Source organism: Homo sapiens, chromosome 16, assembly GCF_000001405.40.
Source record: "Homo sapiens chromosome 16, GRCh38.p14 Primary Assembly".
Taxonomy (NCBI): domain Eukaryota; kingdom Metazoa; phylum Chordata; class Mammalia; order Primates; family Hominidae; genus Homo; species Homo sapiens.
The window spans coordinates 31,468,640-31,482,461 of NC_000016.10; the positions used below are offsets into that span (position 1 = coordinate 31,468,640).

Sequence of the window (13,822 nt, forward strand, 5' to 3'; positions counted from 1 at the left end):
GCTGTCTCTGAGCCTCTGTGAGTGTTGGTCCAGGTCTCTGGTTTTCAGGCTATGCATTAGAACCAAGCAGTGAGCTTTGAAAAACTATTGATGCCTGGGGTCTTTTTGCTCACATTGGACTGGGCATCGGTATTTTATTTTATTTTATTTTATTTTTTGGAATCTTGTTCTGTCACCCAGGCTGGAGTGTGGTGGTACAATATTGACTCATTGCAGCCTCCGCCTCTCTGGTTCAAGCAATTCTCATGCCTCAGCCTCCCAAGTAGCTGGGATTACAGGTGCCACCATGCCCGGCTAACTTTTTTTGTATTTTTAGTAGAAATGGGGTTTCACCATGTTGGCCAGCCTGGTCTCGAACTCCTGACCTCAGGTGATCTGTCTGCCTTGGCCTCCCAAAGTGCTGGGATTACAGGCGTGAGCCACCGCGCCCAGTCAGGCCCTATCTTCAAATATAGTCACACTGAGGGTTGAACTGTGATGTATAAATGTGGGGGAGACACAAACATTCAGTCCATAACACTCCCTTTCCCCCAACCCTAGGCAATCACTAATCTACATCGTATCTCTACAGATGACCTATTCTGGACATGTCATATAAATGGAATCATACAATGTGTGATCTTTCATATCTGGCCTCTTTCATATAGCTTAATGTTATCAAGGTTCATCCACACTGTAGCATCTCATTTCTTTTTATTAGGAATAATACAGTTTCACTTTATGGATTGCTGTGGTTTGAACATGTACCCCAGAGTTCATGTGTTGGAAACTTAACCCCCAATTCAACTGTTGAGAGGTGGGAACTTTAAGAAGTGATTAGGTTATGTGGGCTCTTCCCTCATGAATGGATTAATGGCATTATTGCATGAGTAGGTTAGTTATCAAGGGAGTGGACAGCTGATAGATAAATGGATGGGTTCTGCCCCCACCCCACCCCCTCTCTTGCACTGTCTTGCCCTTCTGCTTTCTGCTGTGGGATGAGGCAGAAAGAAGGCCCTCACCAGATGCAGGGCCCTTGACCTTCGACTTCCCAACCTCTAGAACTGAAAGAAAGATATTTCTATTCTTTATAAATTATCCAGCCTTAGGCATTCTACGATGCAGCACAAAACAGACTAAGACATGGATATGCCACTTTCATTTCTTCAATCATCAGTTGACGGACATTTGGGTTGTTTCCACTCGGGCTATTATGAATAATGCTGCTATGAATACTCATGTACAAGTTTTTTTGTGGAATATGCTTTTATTTCTCTTGGTTACATATCTAGAAGGGAAATTGCTGGATCATATAACTCTATGTTTAAACATGTGAGGAACTGCCAGACCATTTTCCAAAGTTAGTGAACGATTTTACATTCCAACCAGCCATGTGTGAGGGTTCCAATCTCTCCATATCCTCACAAAAACTTGCTAATTACCTCTTTCTTTTCAGCTTTTTTTTTTTTTTTTTTTGAGTCGGAATCTCACTCTGTCACCAGGCTGGAGTGCAGTGGCACAATCTCTGCTCACTGCAACCTCTGCCTCCCGAGTTCAAGTGATTCTCCTGCCTCAGCCTCCCGAGTAGCTGGGATTACAGGTGCCTGCCACCACACCCAGCTAATTTTTGTATTTTTAGTAGAGACGGGGTTTTGCCAAGTTAACCAGGCTGGTCTCCAACTCCAGACCTCAGGTGATCCGCCCGCCTCGGCCTCCCAGAGTGTTGGGATTACAGGCGTGAACCACTGAGCCTGGCCTTTAAAATATTATCATTATTATTTGAGATGGAGTCTCGCTCTGTTGCTCAGGCTGGAGTGCAGTGGCACGATCTCAGCTCACTGCAGCCTCCACCTGCCAGGTTCAAGGGATTCTTCCGCCTCAGCCTCCCAAGTAGCTGGGACTACAGGTGCCCACCACCATGTCTGGCTAATTTTTTTGTGTGTTTTTAGTAGAGACTGTTTTCACCATGTTAGCCAGGCTGGTCTCGAACTCCTGACCTCAGGGGATCCACCCACCTCGGCCTTCCAAAGTGTTAGGATTACAGGTGTGAGCCACTGCTCCTTGCCTAATTACCTGTCTTTTTTGTTATTGCCATCCTAATAGGTATGATGTGGCATCTCATTGTAGTTTTGATTTGCATTTCTCTGGGGACTAATGATGTTGAGGATCTTTTCATGTAATCATTGGCTATTTATATAACTTCTTTGAACTGTCTATTCAGGTCGTTTGCCCATTTTTTCTTCTTTTTCTTTTTTATTCTTGACACAGGGTCTCCTCTGTTGCTCAGGAGTTCAGTGGCACAATCTCAGCTCACTGCAGCCTCTGCCTCCAGGTTTCAAGCAATTCTCCTGTCTCAGCCTCCCAAGTAGCTGGAATTACAGGCTCCCACCACCACGCACAGCTAATTTTGTGTTTTTAGTAGAGATGGGGTTTTGTCATGTTGGCCAGGCTGGTCTCGAACTCCTGACCTCAAGTGACCTGCCCGCCTTGACCTCCCAAAGTGCTAGGATTATAGGTGTGAGCCACCATGCCTGTCTCGCATTTTTAAAAAGCTCCCCAGGTTGTTCCGATTTGCTGCTGGGTTGATACTCACATTCCAGTGCTCAGATCTGTCCAGAAGAGTGGCTGCAGCACAGTTGTCTGTCCATAACTACCTCTATGGCCTCTCGTTTCCACCTCGTTTCTCAGGGTCTCAGTCCAGGGAAGGCCTTGCCACTTTGTGGCTGGAGACTGTGTCTTGCTTTCTGCTCTGAGTTCATCAGTAACTTGGGAAAGGGCTGTTTCAGAGCAGGCCTGGGCCACCTCAGTGCTGAGGAAGGGCTTTGTCTTGCAGGCTGGCTGGGGGTTGGTTGCCTGGGAGTGTTTTCCCCGAATTTGCAAGGGGCTTGCGCCCGGGTTCGAGTTTACGTGTGTCCATGACCAAGTCTTGGAGGGAAGGTCCTAGTGTAGAGTCTGTGGGTGGGTTCACTGTGTCTGTCCCCGTCCCTCAGATTTCTTTGTGTCTGGTATGTATGCCTCTTGGGGCCTCTATTTATCTGTCAGGGTCTCCGATGGGAGGGTCTCCGAACCTGAGGTCTAATTGAGCCTTAGAATATCACTCCTGCTACCAATCCAAAAATTCCGTCTGGGACAAGTCTCCCAGGAATGGCATGGGTGGGAGGGAGGCTCTTGTCTAGGACTCAGGCGCTAGCTTTGAGCGGTGTCTGTTTGGGGGCCTCAGTCCGTGTCTGTAAGTCTCCCTAGGGAGCGGCTCTGGGGCTTGGTCTGGAGAAGCCACTTCTCTCTGGCTCTGGCCTCCTGGGGCTCCCTGCAGCTGAGGCCAAGGCTGGGGTGTGGCCGCCTCCGCGGCAGGCCGGCGGGCTGGGCTCGGGTGGGCCGGGGCGCTCCCTCCTTTCCACGCCCCCACCTCGGGTTCCCCCGTTCATCGCCCCCCCATCCCCATCTCAGCGGGTCCCGGCTTCCTTACATGGTCACGGCCGGGCTTCCAGCTCCCGGACGTCCCCCGCCCCCCGCCCCCACCGGACACGGCCCCCGCCCTGTTCGCCCCGCGCCACCGGCCCGCGCCCCGCCATGGAGGACCTGGGTGAGTGGGGCCGGATCCCCGGGTCCGTGGCCCCTCACCGCTGCCCAGAGCTGCCTCCCCGCCGTCGCTCTCCCGCATCTCCCCATCCCTGTCTTCTTACTTCTGCTTTTCGCCTCTGCCCGCGCCTCCTTTCCAACTCCACGTCCCCCTTCCTGCCTCTCCCTTCCTGCCTTTCCTGGGCCGGCCGCTCCCTCCCTTCTTCCCTCGCTGTGCTCCTCCATCCCAGGCTGCGGCAGATGGAACGGGAGGTGCGGCGCCCGCGGGCGCCCGGGCGCGGGGCTCTGGGGAGGGAGGGGTTAAAGGGGCCTCGGCCCGGGGACCGGGAAAGTAGAGGGCACGGGAAAGTCTGGCATCAAGTTTTGGAGAAAAAAAGCGGGCCTGCCTGCACCAGAGTTTTGGGAGAGGAGGAGTTAAGGGCTCCTGAGCACAGTGAGGGTCAGGTCCTTGAGGCAAGGAAGAGAATAGTAACTCAGGAGTGCCTAGGCGCCCGCGAAGGCTTCAGGGTTTCACGCGGGTGCTCAGAGACGAAGACTGAGGGCAGGACTTCTGGGTTCTGGAAGTGAAAGGGCTCAAAAGACCCGGATCTGGGGATGCAGGGATGGAGAGAGGTGTCTTGTCCGGAAGGGGGACCCAGGTATCTCGTCCTCCCTGCGAAGCCTGGGGCTGGAAGGCTGTGCGCTCCACGGGAGAGAGGGGCTTCCGGCCCCTGGCGGTAGAGGGCGCTGCTCGGTAGGGGTAACTGACGCTGTACCGCAGATAAACAGCCAATCAGAAGGCAGGTCCCAGCGAAGCGCCAGTGAGGAGCCCAGGGCGGGACTCAGGGGCCTGGGAGTGGCCAGGCTGGGCGGGGCCTGTGTAGGTAGAGGGAGGAGTTAACCAGCATGGAAGAGAGAGCGTCCAATCAGAAAGCTGAGGGCCAGGCACTGGGCCAATGGAGCAATTTGGAGGGGAGCCAAATTTGGCTTGGGTGAAGAGCCCATTTTGACTGCATCAGAGAAGATGGGGAGAATAAAATAATCAGGAGGCTGGGTTTGTGCTTGGCTCCAAGCGTGAGCAACTGGGATATTCTGGTCATAAATATTCCTTGCTACCCTTCGAGCAGTGCTCTGCCTGGCTCTGGCCCTGTGACCTCTTCTCTTAATACTGGCTTCTGTCCTTCTCCAGTACTGCCCACTGGGAACCTTATCTTCTGATCTAACCGTGACCCTTGTCTCTCTCCCTGATGGCCTCTTCCTGCAGATGCCCTGCTCTCTGACCTGGAGACTACCACCTCGCACATGCCAAGGTCAGGGGCTCCCAAAGAGCGCCCTGCGGAGCCTCTCACCCCTCCCCCATCCTATGGCCACCAGCCACAGGTGAGATCGGATGTTGGGGACTGGGGCAGCCACTAGGGCCAGGCTCGGCCTGGTCTATGGGGATCTCAGCCTCAGTGGGGCAGAGTGCAGGCCTGTCATCCCACCTGTGCGTCTCCGCTCTGTAGACAGGGTCTGGGGAGTCTTCAGGAGCCTCGGGGGACAAGGACCACCTGTACAGGTGAGGGGCCTGGAAACCAGGGCATGGGGGCCAACTGAGTCTCAGGTGAGGAGGCTTGGATTCCCCACCCCTGAACCCAGGCTCCCACTCTGCTTCCCAGCACGGTATGCAAGCCTCGGTCCCCAAAGCCTGCAGCCCCGGCGGCCCCTCCATTCTCCTCTTCCAGCGGTGTCTTGGGTACCGGGCTCTGTGAGCTAGATCGGTTGCTTCAGGAACTTAATGCCACTCAGTTCAACATCACAGGTACCAGGGTGACTGAGAGAGGCCTTGATGCGATAGGGGCAGGGGAGGGAAGGGTGGGGCAGAGACTAAGAGGAATACACTTCCCAGAGTAGCAGTTAAAGGGACCTAAAGCCTCAAGTGTGAGGGTGCGTTGAGCATGGCCCTATATGTAGCGTCCTCCTCTCCTCTCTCCAGATGAAATCATGTCTCAGTTCCCATCTAGCAAGGTGGCTTCAGGAGAGCAGAAGGAGGACCAGTCTGAAGATAAGAAAAGACCCAGCCTGTGAGTTTGGCGTCGTTGTCAGGGCTGAGAGATGAGTCCTGGATATCTGAGTCACTAGAGGGAGCGTTGCTCTGGGAGGCTCTGAGATGACACAAGCATGTTCTTCACAGCCCTTCCAGCCCGTCTCCTGGCCTCCCAAAGGCTTCTGCCACCTCAGCCACTCTGGAGCTGGATAGACTGATGGCCTCACTCTCTGACTTCCGCGTTCAAAACCATGTGAGTTGGGCAGTGGGCCAGTGTCCATTTGTGGCTCCCCAACCCCTTCTAGACAATTCCACATCTGCTGCTTTGCTGACTCAATTCTCATGTCCTCCCCGCTGCAGCTTCCAGCCTCTGGGCCAACTCAGCCACCGGTGGTGAGCTCCACAAATGAGGGCTCCCCATCCCCACCAGAGCCGACTGGCAAGGGCAGCCTAGACACCATGCTGGGGCTGCTGCAGTCCGACCTCAGCCGCCGGGGTGTTCCCACCCAGGCCAAAGGCCTCTGTGGCTCCTGCAATAAACCTATTGCTGGGCAAGTAAGTGGAGCCTTGTGAGAAGGGAGGCAGAGACCTGTCACAGACCCATCTTTAGTGAGAGCTGGGCTTTATGCTGTTCCCTTTTAGTAAGTTAATCTGGGAAGTGGGTATCATTATTACTTATGTTTTATGGATGAGGAAACTGAAGCTCTGAACCACACAGCAGGTTAGTGGTAGGGTGAAAATTCCAACCATGTTACCATTTATTGTGGTCCTACTGTGTGCCAGGCACTGTGCCAGCTCCTTTACAAACCCTCATCTCATCTGATCTTCACAAAACACTCTGTGGCTCCACCCAATATCTCTCAGGCATCTACAAAGGCTCTCTCTTCCTCCGTCAGAGTCTGGACTGGGTTCACTGGTCCTTGTTTTATTGACTGAGCAGATGTGATTGACAACAGCTGTGCCTAGGGGTTAACCTAGTGCCCCCTGCTAGATCAAGTACCTGACTCCCAGCCCAGAATTGCCCATCTCAGCAAAGGAGGGTGGCATTGTGACTTTTGTGGATCATAGGCACTTTCATCTTCATGAGTCCCTTCGTCCATTAAAATAAATAGATTTTTATGTCTGTGTTGGTGTAAAGATGGGTATGTTATTATTGTGTATTACAGCATTTTCTTCTAGTTCATTTTTTTATTCTGAATTTTTAAAAACGGATTTTTCACTTCCTCCCTCTTATTTATTTTGAGGCAAATTCTCACTCTTGTGACCCAAGCTGGAGTGCAGTGGTGCGATTGTGGCTCACTGCAGCCTCGACCTTCTGGGCTCAAGTGATCCTCCCAGCTCAGCCTCCCGAGTAGCTGGGACTAAAGGCGCCCGCCACCTCGCCCAGCTAATTTTATTTATTTATTGTAGAGATGGGGCTTCGCCATGTTGCCCAGGCTGGTCTCAAACTCCTGGACTCAAGTAATCCTCCCACCTCAGCCTCCCAAATGCTAGGATTAGAGGCACGAGCCACCCAGCCTGATCGTATTTTGATTTTAAAAAAATTAAAACGTTTTTATGGGCCCCTAAATGTATTGTGGGCTCCAGGCGCTGTGCCTGCTGTGCCTCATGTATAGGTCAATCCTGGAGCGCAGCTGGAAGACGGAACACGGGAGCTAGATCTCCATCGCTTACAGGCTGCGTGATCTCGAACACTGGATTCTTTATTCTGATCGCTCAGAGAGGACTCGAAAAACGCCGCGTAAATCTTGCCTCACTGGGCATGTGGTTGTCAGAGCCGCTCTGACCCGCCTCACCTCCCACTCGCAGGTGGTGACGGCTCTGGGCCGCGCCTGGCACCCCGAGCACTTCGTTTGCGGAGGCTGTTCCACCGCCCTGGGAGGCAGCAGCTTCTTCGAGAAGGATGGAGCCCCCTTCTGCCCCGAGTGCTACTTTGAGCGCTTCTCGCCAAGATGTGGCTTCTGCAACCAGCCCATCCGACACGTGAGCCCCGCCCGGCCGCACCGAGCCCGCCCTATCTCACCAGGAGAGCTGTGGGACGGGCCTCCACCGCATGGGTCCCGCCCCACCCGCGATACCCCACTCCACCCCTACCCCTTCCCCTTGGCAATGTCCACGGCCCCTTGGACTCCACTCTTCCTTTCTGACCCCCACGTTCCTAGTTAGATCTTCTCCCCCTCCCCCCACGCATGCCTTAGTCCAGTCACCCGGGTTCCGCGCGGGAGAGGAAGGCGCGAAGGCACGGAGGCCGCGCTGAGTGCCCTCTCCCTCCCTGCAGAAGATGGTGACCGCCTTGGGCACTCACTGGCACCCAGAGCATTTCTGCTGCGTCAGTTGCGGGGAGCCCTTCGGAGATGAGGGTGAGAGTGAACTCGACTCCCATCTTAAAAGCTGCGGGTCCCCTCGACGTCTCGCCCCAGCCCCTCCGACCTCCGGAGTCCTCAGGGCCATGGTTTTCCTTCTGCTCTCTTCTGGCCCTGCCCTCTCCTACACAGACTCCGGACCCGAGCCCTCCCCGCTCTGTCCCGCCATAGACCCGGCTCCTCCTTCCCCAAGGCTCCCTCGGACTGCCCCTCCTTCGGCCCCAGATCTCAGGTCTTGTGGGTCCCCCGTCCCGCCCGCACCCTTTGCTTTCAGCCCACTCGGTTCCCTCTCCTAGGTTTCCACGAGCGCGAGGGCCGCCCCTACTGCCGCCGGGACTTCCTGCAGCTGTTCGCCCCGCGCTGCCAGGGCTGCCAGGGCCCCATCCTGGATAACTACATCTCGGCGCTCAGCGCGCTCTGGCACCCGGACTGTTTCGTCTGCAGGGTGCGAGCTGCGGGGCGGGGCGTTGGAGGGGCGGGTCAAGGGTACAGGGCTGTGGGGCGGGGCCTTGGAGGGGCGGGTCAAGGGTGCAGGGCAGGGGGCGGGCCCTCGGGGGGGCGGGTCACGGGAGGTGCTGCTAGGAACCTCGGGTGGGGCGAGTTTTCCGGGCAGGGTCCCACCGGACGGGATTCTTCGCGTCTAGGGCGGGCTGCGGGGTCCCAGGGCGTTATCCGCTAGTAACGCGCGTTGTCTGGCAGTGGCCGCTGACCTGTCTGTCCTCTTTCGCGGCTTCCCTTCCCCAGGAATGCTTCGCGCCCTTCTCGGGAGGCAGCTTTTTCGAGCACGAGGGCCGCCCGTTGTGCGAGAACCACTTCCACGCACGACGCGGCTCGCTGTGCGCCACGTGTGGCCTCCCTGTGACCGGCCGCTGCGTGTCGGCCCTGGGTCGCCGCTTCCACCCGGACCACTTCACATGCACCTTCTGCCTGCGCCCGCTCACCAAGGGGTCCTTCCAGGAGCGCGCCGGCAAGCCCTACTGCCAGCCCTGCTTCCTGAAGCTCTTCGGCTGACAGCCCGCTCGGCTCGCCCTCTCCCCCGGAGGCCGCGCCCTCCCGGAAAAGCCGGGTCCTCCAGACCCCGAGGCCTTGCTCTCAGAGCGGGAGGCCCCACCCACTGGAGAGCCCCGCCCCTAAGGTACTATGAGTCCTCAGGGGTCAAGTTCAGAAACGGCCCAGCCAGACCTAAACCCACACGCCCACAAAGTGGATTGCACACAGACAAGAACTCCCGTGCGGGCCTCCACTCTATTCCCACCCTTGAGGGAGCCCCCTTACTGGGGGAGGGTCCTTGCAATTCCAGCGAATCGGAGGCCAGGCCAGGACGTCCTTGCTCCCTGCACCCTCACTGTTCTGTGCACTTTTTCTACCTACATAAACACACGCATTCCACCTCTCCCTGGTGCTGTCTCTGAATGCGCGCAGGAGCTTGGCCCTGACTCCCCACCCCCGCGCTGGCTCTGTCCCCGGCCGTCTCTAGGTCACTGCCCTGTGGCCGCAGCGGGACCTGCAGCCTCAGCCCTTGCAGGTAGCCACTCCTGCACTTCCTACTTCAAGTATCAGATGAGCCTGAGGCTGGAAAGTGTGGCGACTCGCGCAGGACTGTACAGATAGTGGCAGAGCCAGGACAAGAGCTCCAACTGGGGCCCCACCGAATATTCCCGCCCTCATTACTCTTTCTTCAGTTCTATATTTTGTTTTGTTTTGTTTTGTCCTAAGAGATGAGGTCTCACTTTGTCGCCCAGGCTGGAGTACAGTGGTGCCATAGCTCACTGCAACCTCGAACTCCTGGTCTTGAGCGATCCTCCCGCCTTGGCCTCCCAAAGTACTGGGATTGCAGGTGTGAGCCACTGTGCCCGCCCTTCCCTTTATTCTTGAAATAAGCGCTTACAGTGGTTCATGCCTGTAATCCTGGCACTGTGGGAGGCCAGGGCGGGTGAATCACTTGAGGCCAGGAGTTTGAGACCAGCCTGGCCAACATGGGGAAACCCCGTCTCTACTACAAATACAAAAATTAGCTGGGTATGGTGGCACACGCTTGTAATCCCAGCTTCTCTGGAGGCTGAGGCAGGAGAATCAATTGAACTTGGGAGGCAGAGGTTGCAGTGAGCCGAGATCACGCCACTGCACTCCAGCCTGGGCAACAGAGCGAGACTCCGTCTCAAAAAAAAAAAAAAAAAAAAAAAAAAGAAAGAAAAGAAAGGAAGAAAGAAAGAGAAAGGAAGAAGGAAGGAAGGAAGGAGAGAGAAAGAACTTAATCTGCTCCCCTCCTGCACTGCCTTTGGTTCCCAGATTTTTTCTCCTATTAAAGGGCCTTGAGGGATGGAGCTCTATTCAGAGTGCCAGCTGTGCTCACCTTTTGGTTCTGGGCACTAAGGTACAGCTTCCCTCTTACTATTGACCCACAACATCTTGGATCACCTGAATGTTTCATGTAGTTACGGCCTCAGCTTAACCCTTTCTCACTCCCACCCCCAGGTGTCCCAGTCAAGGCAGAACAATCAGCGCACTCAGAGCCATTACTTACTGTCCCTGCTGGCCTGTCTGCCACCACCTGAGGCTTCTCCCGGCCTAGCCCTGTGCTGGGTGGTGCTGGGTCCAGAGATGAGTCAGGCTCACTGCCCTGGAGAGCCCCAGGCTGAGGAGGCAGATACCTGGACAGAGGATGACACTTGGTGTGGCCAGGTTGTGACTGAGGGAAGCACTGGGGGCTGTAGAAGCCAGAAGGTGGCTTCTTAACCCAGACTGGGAGTCAAGGGATGCATCCTGGAGTAACTGACACCCAAGACCTGAGCCAAGTCCTAGCAGAGAAGGATGGGGCCAGGGGTTTTCAGGTGTGGAAGATGGAGCCAAGGGTTTCAGGTGTGAAGAAGTTCAGGTTCCATCTGAGTCCCTAAGTCCCAGGGTGGTCCCCTGGGTCTAGACTCTAGGGACCTCTGGTGCTGGAAATGATAGGTCCTCAGAGCCCTTTCCAGCTCATCAGGAAGAGCTAGAAGCCGCAGGGAGCATGTATGGGCACAAGGAAAAGGTGAGGCGTCCATGGCCCCAGCCTCTCCCAGGCCCCCAGATCTCTTCCTCTCTAAGGCTCCTCTCCCATGGTCTTCCCAGGTCTCCTGCTCTTCCCCTTCCACATATTCTCCCCAAAGAATGTACCCCCAACCCCAGCCTGTAATCACCTCCCTATCTTGAGGATGCCCAAATTGGCATTCATTCATTCACCAAATATTTATTGAGCACTCCTGTGCCAGGCTCTGGGGAGACAATGGGGAACCAAGCAGCTATGACCCTTGCTTTCAGGGAGCTGAAGTCTAGTAGCGGAGACAGATGACAGCCAAGTACAAAGGTGACATGCGTGATGAAGGAGCGGTACCTTCCCGACCGCCTAGCTAAAGCCAATGCTTCCCTGGTTTCCGTGCCACGGCCCCTCCCTAGTTCCTTCCTAGCATGCAGTGCTCTTGCAAGTAGGAGTTTTTGTTTTTGTTTTTTTGAGACAGAGTTTCGCTCTGTTGCCCAGGCTGGGGTGCAGTGGTGCCATCTGGGCTCACTGCAACTTCTGCCTCCTGAGGTTGAACCTCTGGGTTCAAGCGATTCTCTTGCCTCAGCCTCCTGAGTAGCTGGGATTACAGGCTTGTGCCACCACTCCTGGCTACTTTTTTTCTGAGATGGAGTTTCGCTCTTGTTGCCCAGGCTGGAGTGCAATGGCGTGATCTCAGCTCACTGCAACCTCTGCCTCCCGGGTTCAAGAGATTCTCCTGCTTCAGCCTCCCGAGTATCTGGGATTAGAGGCATGCACCACCACACCCGGCTAATTTTGTATTTTTAGTAGAGACGGGGTTTCTCCATGTTGGTCGGGCTGATCTCGAACTCCTGACCTCAGGTGATTCACCCGCCTTGGCCTCCCAAAGTGCTGGGATTACAGGCGTGAGCCACTGCACCCAGCCCTAATTTTTATATCTTTAGTAAAGACGGGGTTTCACTTTGTTGGCCAGGCTGGTCTCGAACTCCTGACCTCAGGTGATTCCCCTGCCTCAGCCTCCAAAAATGCTGGGATTACAGGCATGAGCCACCACACCTGGACCTTATTGTTTCTGGCTTCTGTCTGATTCTGCAACCGGAACAGAAGCTCCCGAGAGCAGGCAGTGCATTTGTTTTGCTGACCATTTTCTCCCTGGTGTCTAGAACAGGTCCAGTACATAGCCAGTCTCCATACGTGTTTGTTAATGAAGGAAGGAACCAGGAAGGAAGGAAAGAGAGAGAGTACAATGGATGAAATAGAGAACTAAGTTAGGGGAGGTGGGGAAGAGATTACTTTCACCAGGTAGTAAAATGTAAGGTCTCAGCTGAGAGCCGAACATGGAGAAGGAGCCAGCTGTGCAAGGCGCCAAGGAGAGCATTCCCGGCAGACAGGAAGCAGGTGCAAAGGCCAGGGAGGAGGAGAGAGTCTGATGCCTTGGAAGAAAGAAGGCCACTGTGGCTGGACTGGAGCCAGCAATGGGGAGGCCAAAGAGGAAGGAGATGTCACATCATGAAGGCCTTTGACGGCCGTGGTGAAGGGACCTTATCTGAAATGTCTGTAACACACACGTGTCCTCTGACACTTGGCACTGGATTTCTCTCAGGCACTTTAAACTCATCACCCTCTGAAGCAGACACTGTGGGTGCCCCACCCATATACCTGCATGGCCCACCTTGGAAGTCATATACTGTGACAGTTTCCAGATACCCTGACTTGCAGCTCCTTCTGGAGTTTCTTGTCTGAGGCTGTTCTTGGGAGGAGGGAGTGTGCTCCGTGTTCTCAGCAGGCCTGAAGTGTGTGGACATTTCTGCAGCTTTTAGCCAGTGACAGACACAAATCAGGGAATAGATACCCCAACCACCTGGCCCCTCAAGGAACATTGCTATGGGGTGTTCTTCACAGTGTCTCAGAGTGTCCTTTTTGGGATGAGGCTCCAACTGCTCTTTGTGGTAACCTGACAAATGACACACCCTTACGCCAGGCGTGGTGGCTCACACCTGTAATCCCAGCACTTCGGGAGGCTGAGGCAGTTTGGCTCAGGATTTTGAGACCAGCCTGGGCAACACAGTGAAACCCCATCTGTATAAAAAATACAAAAATTAGCCAAGTGTTGTGGCGTGCCCGTAGTTCCAGCTATTTGGGAAGCTGAGGTGGGAGGATCCCTTGAGCCCAGGAGGTCGAGGCTGCAGTGAGCTGTGATCACACCACTGTACTCCAGCTTTGGTGACACAGCAAGACCCTGTCTCAAAACAAAGAAACACATGCTTTGTTGGTTTTTCTCCTTGTTTCATTTCTCTTCCCTACACCATCACAGTCCATACTGGAATCACCTCCTCAGGAAAGTCGTTGCACACAAATTCTCATCTCAGGGTCTCCTTTTAGAGGAATACAAGCTAAGGAACTCCTTCATCCAAACTCTGTCATATTACACTCAAAGCATTTTTCTCTGTTCCCCATCTCCGGGATGACCATCGCTGCCATAATCAGGCAGGACTTTCCTTCGACTGTCTCCTGACATCCAAGTCTGGTCAATTCTTCTAGAAAGGTAGACATACAGATATTAACCAGCCTCTCCCTTCTTGAATCCAGTCCTGTGCTGAGAAATGAGACTCCAGGGATGAATCAGATCAGTCCTGCTCTTTTTAATTTTTATTTATTTATTTTTTAAGAGATGAGGTCTCACTCCGCTGCCCAGGCTGGTTTCAAACTCCTGAGCTCAAGTGAGCCTCCTGCTGCAGCCTCCCAAAGTGCTAGGATTACAGGCATGAGCCCCCACACCCAGCCAGTCCTACTCTTGAGGAGACACTAGTTTGTTGGGAAGACAGACCTGGACCCAGGCAAGGGCCACACAGTGTGCTCAGAACTACATCAGAAATGTCAGAG

General features: G+C 54.6%; 1 protein-coding gene across 4 annotated transcripts, besides 5 other annotated features; it reads left to right on the forward strand.

Moving 5' to 3' along the window:
• TGFB1I1 (transforming growth factor beta 1 induced transcript 1) lies at window positions 3,513-9,321 on the forward strand. 4 transcript variants are annotated; one of them, NM_001042454.3, is made up of 11 exons: window positions 3,513-3,562; window positions 4,802-4,917; window positions 5,043-5,095; window positions 5,196-5,338; window positions 5,513-5,600; window positions 5,711-5,816; window positions 5,924-6,118; window positions 7,373-7,546; window positions 7,842-7,923; window positions 8,223-8,371; window positions 8,671-9,319. In NM_001042454.3, the coding sequence occupies exons 1-11, from the start codon at window positions 3,550-3,552 to the stop codon at window positions 8,935-8,937; spliced, it is 1,386 nt and encodes a 461-aa protein (NP_001035919.1). In that variant the 5' UTR covers window positions 3,513-3,549; the 3' UTR covers window positions 8,938-9,319. The 4 variants fall into 4 exon arrangements, with proteins under 4 accessions (NP_001035919.1, NP_001158191.1, XP_024306180.1 ...); NM_001164719.1 differs by lacking the exon at window positions 3,513-3,562 and adding an exon at window positions 3,569-3,584 and having other exon boundaries at window positions 8,671-9,321; XM_024450412.2 differs by lacking the exon at window positions 3,513-3,562 and adding an exon at window positions 3,764-3,810 and having other exon boundaries at window positions 8,671-9,321.
• Window positions 3,852-4,392: an enhancer, noted in NCBI's record as "H3K4me1 hESC enhancer chr16:31483812-31484352 (GRCh37/hg19 assembly coordinates)". NCBI's record gives its function as "activates a minimal SCP1, AML or CMV promoter by ChIP-STARR-seq in primed H9 embryonic stem cells {active_cell/tissue: H9 hESC(primed)}" and the evidence as "EXISTENCE:reporter gene assay evidence [ECO:0000049][PMID:30033119]".
• Window positions 6,907-7,639: an enhancer, noted in NCBI's record as "H3K4me1 hESC enhancer chr16:31486867-31487599 (GRCh37/hg19 assembly coordinates)". NCBI's record gives its function as "activates a minimal SCP1, AML or CMV promoter by ChIP-STARR-seq in primed H9 embryonic stem cells {active_cell/tissue: H9 hESC(primed)}" and the evidence as "EXISTENCE:reporter gene assay evidence [ECO:0000049][PMID:30033119]".
• Window positions 7,640-8,371: an enhancer, noted in NCBI's record as "H3K27ac-H3K4me1 hESC enhancer chr16:31487600-31488331 (GRCh37/hg19 assembly coordinates)". NCBI's record gives its function as "activates a minimal SCP1, AML or CMV promoter by ChIP-STARR-seq in naive H9 embryonic stem cells {active_cell/tissue: H9 hESC(naive)}" and the evidence as "EXISTENCE:reporter gene assay evidence [ECO:0000049][PMID:30033119]".
• Window positions 8,372-9,104: an enhancer, noted in NCBI's record as "H3K27ac-H3K4me1 hESC enhancer chr16:31488332-31489064 (GRCh37/hg19 assembly coordinates)". NCBI's record gives its function as "activates a minimal SCP1, AML or CMV promoter by ChIP-STARR-seq in naive H9 embryonic stem cells {active_cell/tissue: H9 hESC(naive)}" and the evidence as "EXISTENCE:reporter gene assay evidence [ECO:0000049][PMID:30033119]".
• Window positions 8,398-8,487: a silencer, noted in NCBI's record as "silent region_7420". NCBI's record gives its function as "represses an Ori minimal core promoter by ATAC-STARR-seq in GM12878 lymphoblastoid cells {active_cell/tissue: GM12878}" and the evidence as "EXISTENCE:reporter gene assay evidence [ECO:0000049][PMID:35858748]".

Coding starts and splice junctions, on each gene's coding strand:
- TGFB1I1 (NM_001042454.3), top strand. Junction 5,601..5,710: donor GATAAGAAAAGACCCAGCCT/GTGAGTTTGGCG, acceptor TGTTCTTCACAG/CCCTTCCAGCCCGTCTCCTG. Junction 5,817..5,923: donor ACTTCCGCGTTCAAAACCAT/GTGAGTTGGGCA, acceptor TCCCCGCTGCAG/CTTCCAGCCTCTGGGCCAAC.